Source organism: Homo sapiens, chromosome 2 (genome assembly GCF_000001405.40).
Source record: "Homo sapiens chromosome 2, GRCh38.p14 Primary Assembly".
Taxonomy (NCBI): domain Eukaryota; kingdom Metazoa; phylum Chordata; class Mammalia; order Primates; family Hominidae; genus Homo; species Homo sapiens.
The window spans coordinates 144291689-144297693 of NC_000002.12; the positions used below are offsets into that span (position 1 = coordinate 144291689).

At 36.1% G+C, this 6005-nt stretch overlaps 1 protein-coding gene across 58 annotated transcripts in view; it reads right to left on the reverse strand.

Annotated features, from left to right (window-relative positions):
- The window catches only part of QTMAN (queuosine-tRNA mannosyltransferase), a 395002-nt gene that overhangs the window by 353621 nt on the left and 35376 nt on the right, over positions 1-6005 (reverse strand). The window contains exon 4 of one of the 58 annotated variants that reach the window (XM_047445844.1): positions 2677-2804. The exons of 54 other annotated variants lie outside the window; for them this stretch is intronic. The gene's annotated coding sequence lies outside the window, so the exon portion shown is untranslated. Of the gene's footprint in view, positions 1-2676; positions 2806-3586; positions 3626-6005 lie in introns of those variants that run through there. 3 more of the 58 variants (NM_001006636.5, NM_001354361.1, NM_001376328.1) reach the window with 3 other exon arrangements.

The window sequence follows — 6005 nt, forward strand, 5'->3', positions numbered from 1 at the left end:
CATAGGTTTGAAATAATGCATTCTTATTACCCGTACTTAATGACCCAGTCTTGACAATTCTCCTACCTTAATCTCATATGCAAACCCTTCTTTTCAGTCCTATTTTTACTACCACAAATTCAAGTTCATACTACCACTTGTCTGAATCATTAAAATAGTCTCCCAGTTGGCTACCATGCCTCTACAGTATTACTTTCTAATCCAAGAAACCAACTGCTTTGGAAACATTCCTGAAATTTAGCCTGATTGCCTTGTTCCCCCACTTAAAAGAGATGAAACATGCGGGTTCAAATGAACATTTGGTTTGAATTCTAGCTCTGACAACTAGTTGTCACAAGACCTTGGGCAAGTCATTTAGCTCCTCTGAGTGTTAGTTTTTCTCCAAAATGAGTACTGTAATATCTACTACAAACAACAAGAGTAGTTATCAATATATCAGAGGACACATTAAAGATGGTCTATTACCTTCTAAGGCTGTCCACTGCCTAACAAGTAAGATCTGCACACCCTTACAAGATCATCAAACCCAGTTTGGGACAGTCCAGTCTAATCACCAACAGCTCCCCCTCTGCTCCTATGTGAGACCACTACAGACTCTTCAATCATACAAGGCATTTAAGACTCTCTTTTCTTGTGTTATCTGCTCAGCCTAAAATACCCTTTTCCCAAATCTTCCCCCATCATTTTTCTAACAGTTACTTAAGGCCCAGCTCAAGTATCATATCTTTTAAGAACTAATACAATTTTTTTTTTCCAGCTGAGTTTTATTTGTGCTTCTCTTACACCATTTATTCAAGTTACTTACACACTAGTCTTTCTTTCTTATTAGGGCTAGGACTATGTGTTTTATCCACTATATTACTCGGTACCCTGTACTACAAACAGAAGCATTAAAGAAAAATAATAGTGACACTTAGAATTCTAAGATTAATTTCCAATACTATTTATAAAATTTATCCCAAAAAATTTATAGAGTCACCAATCCTATCTACATGCTTACAATGGAAATTGAGTATGTTCAATAAACTGGGACATGTCTAAAGGAAGCTATAACTTACTTAAATTATATAATTGAAACAGAAAGAAGAAATAAGACTTTTATGTCTGATTTATGGGGAATAATATGATTTTAATAACAGGTCCTATCAATTCAAAAGGATAAACCTTGTCACTTTATTTCATTTTAAAAGATAATACTCACAAATTATCAAGTAATTCAATTTCAGAAACACTCAAACATAACAAATGATCATATACATGTTCAAAATGTGGCACCAAGCTACATACCAATAAAATTTTGAAGATATTTTGTAAAAAATAATAATATTTGATCACTTCTGCCAGACTGGAGTATATATGTAATTCTTAAATAGTAAACAGGAGAAGAAATAAACAAGCAAATCATAAACTAAAAAAGAATGACCAAATAGTCGACTCTAGTATTCAAACATAAATTAACATTGAGTGCATAAAAAAGACTGCATTATGGATTTTTTGTCACACATCTATTTTAGAACATACAAAAAGAGAAAAACCATAGAGATGCATGTAGTATACAGATACAAGCAAGGCCATAGAGAAAGAATGGCTACAAAGATGAGAGAGAGTGGGAAGCACCTGCTTCCAATTTGTCTAATATACACTGTAAATAGTACCTGCTTCCTTGATTGGAAAAGCTCTAAGAGAAAAATTGCTCCACTGCATTAGAATGCATGCATATATATGCTTATACTCTCATGTAGCTGTACTGAAAGATATTATATGGGTCTCAAAATTCAGGTAGGGCAAATCTCAGTAACAAGATCACACTAATAACCTATCCATGGTAAGGCTCTAAAGACAAGGATAGATTTGAACATAACTCTAAACATTAAGTCCTCCCTGTGTCCACACAGCATGCATTTCAAACTGAACTAAGTAAAGACTCCAACACTGTCTAGAGAGAAAAGCAGTGTTTTTGCTGTGGGGATATCATCTCTCCAGGTATTGAATCCCTGACCTCTTAGCGTAATAACTAATTATCTCATATTTTAAAATACATAATCAATGCATATATATACATAAACAGATTTAAGCTAAAAGAAGAGTACAAATATTTTCTATGTACAATAATAAAGACTACATGCAGGCAAGTTTACTGAGTATCTGTCTCTTTTGGCTTTTTAACTCCCAAGAATGTTTGAGCTGACCATTAAGACTTTGCTACCAAGTCCAATTCTCAATGCTTCATCTCTTAATGGACTACACAATGGCTCTATTTTATAAGTACATATAAACATAAGATTTTACATGCCAATGGAGAATTTTTGTCTCAGAAGCTGACCTAATGTCTGAACTTTGGCTTACCTTGCTTACTTTCTCCAAAACCCTCTGGAAATCTATTTCTAGATCCTAAGTTTGTATACTAATTCCTCCCATTTCCACCACTTAGCAGGGTAAAATGCCCTCCCTGCGCTATTTCTTTATAATCCCATAATTCTCTTACAAGTTAAATGACTGTATGCATTATGCTGTATTATTTTAGTTGATTTCCTATCAACCAGAAGTGTTCACTCTGAACTCTTTTGCAGAAGCGCCCTGTTGCATCCTGCCACAAGGCCTTTGCACATGCTGCTCCCACTGGTGTGCCCTTCAGACAGCAGCTAAGGCTCACTTCCTAAGGGAAGCCTTTCCTACCTGACCAGAGCAGGTTCTTTTCTGATGCTCTCGGACATCATTATTTTAGTTTTTTTCTTCCCCACTGGAATGAGAGCTCCTTAAGGCCAGAAACTGTGTCAGGTCCCTTTCTATATCTCCAGCAAGTCCTAGGGCAAAAATGGTATTCATTAAGTATCCATCAATCAAAACCATAGGTTGATAATTATTGAAGCCAGGCAACTGGTACACGCAGAGTAGGGGAGGGAGGATGTTTCATTTTGTGTGTGTGTATGTGTGTGTGTATACTTGAAATTTGTTTAACATTGGGTGAAAAACTCTTTGTGGAAGAGACTTATAGCTATATATAAGTAATCTTCAATAAGTAAAAGAGTCTATAAACAAATTGGACTTGTTCAGTTTTGCCACTGAGAACTAGTATCAATGAGTAAAATCCAGAATTTTGGCTTCACATAAGAAAGAACTCTCCATTGCTTAAAAGTGTCTGGAAATAAAGCTGGTTCCAAAGAAGAAAGGGAGGACCCTGCCACTTGGGTAGTTATACTCAAGCAGTTGGATAATCAGTGGATTCCTAGTTAGGGGATTAAAGGACCAAATGGGAAAAATGAACTTGAAGAAATCTTCAAATCTTTTGAGTATCTGAAAACAAAGTTTATTGTCTTAAAATAGATATATAGAAGTCAATATGACACACAGAAGTCAATATAAAAATATTGATTTCATATTTCATATAAAGCATCTATAAAGAATGAAGTTTTTACTTAAAACCAATCTCCCTGAAAGCTTTATCTTGCAGGTGTTCACTCTGCACTCCAGCTTCTCTCAATGCGCCCTGTTGCATCCTGCCACGTGGCCTTTGCACATGCTGCTCCCACTGGTATGCTCTTCAGATAGCAGCTAAGGCTCACTTCCTAAGGGAAGCCTTTCCTACCTGACCAGAGCAGGTTCTTTTCTGATGCTCTCAGACAACCATATCCCTCTGCTAGAGATAGAGAGCACAGATGCCATATTTTCACTAACCACTGTATCCCCAGTGCCTGTCACAAAGCCTGGCATGTTGTAAGGGCTAAATAAATATTTGTTGAATGGATGTATGAACGCCAACACTCCCTATGAATCCAGCATTTTCATAAATTATAATCTAAACTGAACATGTCAACTTGCCAAAAGATAGTCAACCTATTTCTCTACCAGAAGTGATTCAGCTCTCATCCTAGAGGATGAGAACAATAAGAAAACAGTTAGCCAGCTCCCAAGGCAGCTTTTTTGTTTTTGTTTTTGTATTTTGAGACAGGGTCTCGCTCCATCACCCAGGCTGGAGTGCAGTGGCAAGACTGTGGCTCACTGCAGCCTCAATCTCCATGGCTCAACTAATCCTCCCACCTCAGCCTCTCGAGTAGCTGAGACTACAGGTATGTGGCACCATTCCTGACTAATTTTTAAATTTTTTTGTAGAGACGGGATCTCACTATGTTGCCCAGGCTGGTCTCAAACAATCCTCCCACCTCAGCCTCCCAAAGTGCTAGGATGACGGGCATGAACCACTGAGCCTGGCCCCAAGGCATTATTTTTATACTTTTTTTAACATGAAAATATAACATTTTCGGTAACTTTTAGCTACACAATACACAAAATAAATTTATTTTTCAGAACACTTTTAAGATTGTGACAAGCCAAATGATGCTGAGGTCAAACTGTGGTTTATTAAGCTGAAAGAATATATTGTATGGACATGAAGTTTAATGAGGATGTTTAGGTAACGAAGAAGTAATGAGAGACTCAGGACAGATGGACAAGCATCAGGTCATATAAACTATTTCCACATGTATGTCTGAAGGAAGATACGAAAATGCCCAAGATAGGAATAATTTGTGTTGCTAAGAAACACTAAGGTTGATGAGTAAACTGTCTCTCTTACAAAAACCAACTAAAATCATGTCATTTATCAGTGCAATGTGATTAATAATTATTCACTTTAGAAAACCTTTATAAGATAAACTAAACCAAAAGAAAGGCAAAAATTTTAACACTCAGAAATCACTAATGTATATAATGTATACAGGGACATTTAGTGTAGTATTTTATTGACTTCCATCAAAAGTGTTCATTTAGGACAAAGTTACAAGATTCTACCTTTGGCTATAAAATTATGACTGAAAAAAATATTAAAGTACAAAAAATATTCTATCCACACAAAAACAATCACTTACAGCTAATACACAAAGTATTTCAAATTCCAAAGAAATAAATTCTAACAAAGTTAAACAACACTGTTTCAGGACTACTTCATTTTTATTTCAATTTTGGAAAAATTACCCCGATTTCTGAATCAGAGACACACTCCAACACTGTACCATGTTGAAACCCCTCAGGCTCAATCCTATTTCTTATAAACTTTAGCTTTAATTTTGGTCCCAACATGAACTTTCACCCAGACTACACTTTCACCCAGGTCATCCTCACCACTATGAGGGCCAACCCTGGACTCGGTCTCTCCTGCACTTCAGAGACAAATGACAAACCAAGAAAAAGATGAAGAGAAGTCTTCAAAATGAGTATAAACTTCAAAGAATGATTGCTTTATAATGAAATAATAAAATTTATATTGGAGAGGTGTGAATTTGGAAAAGACTTAGCTTAGTTTGCCCTACATATGGAAAACTATTATTATTACTGTTTTAGTTTTATAAATTGATTTCCTCTGATACTAAGGAATGCATTACGTGATTTACTAACATTCCAAATCTACAAATTAGAAAACACAAAGAGTCAAAAAAATCATTTAACTTTTCATCATGAAAATCTTCAATTATACCCAACAGTAGGGAGAAAAGTTTAGTGAACCACCATCACCCAGCTTCAACAATTATCATTACTCTGTCAATTTTACCTACAAGAAATCTATTCTTGAATAATGCCAAGAGCATACTGAATTCAGACATTGTTTTAAAAGTGTGCCTGCCAGCTTGACCACGGAGAAACAATGGATTTCACGCAAAAACTTTCTTTTTGTCTCTTTCTGGTCTATTACACTTACTCAAGAATAAATCAACTCCTGGCCTATAGTAAAAATTCAAATAATCCTCATGACTTTTCTGGTCCCTCATAAGTAAGAGAAAATCATATAGTCAATTTAAATGGTAGGTCTCGGTTCAGTAATTCAAAATTACTAGTCTTGGCTGGGCGTGGTGTCTCATGCCTGTAATCCCAGACCTTTGGGAGCAGGATTCCGTCTTTTTTTTTTTTTTTTTTTTTGAGACAGAGTCTCTCTCTGTCTCCCAGACTGGAGTGCAGTGGCGCAATCTTGGCTCACTGCAATCTCCACCTCCCGGGTTCAAACGATTCTCCTA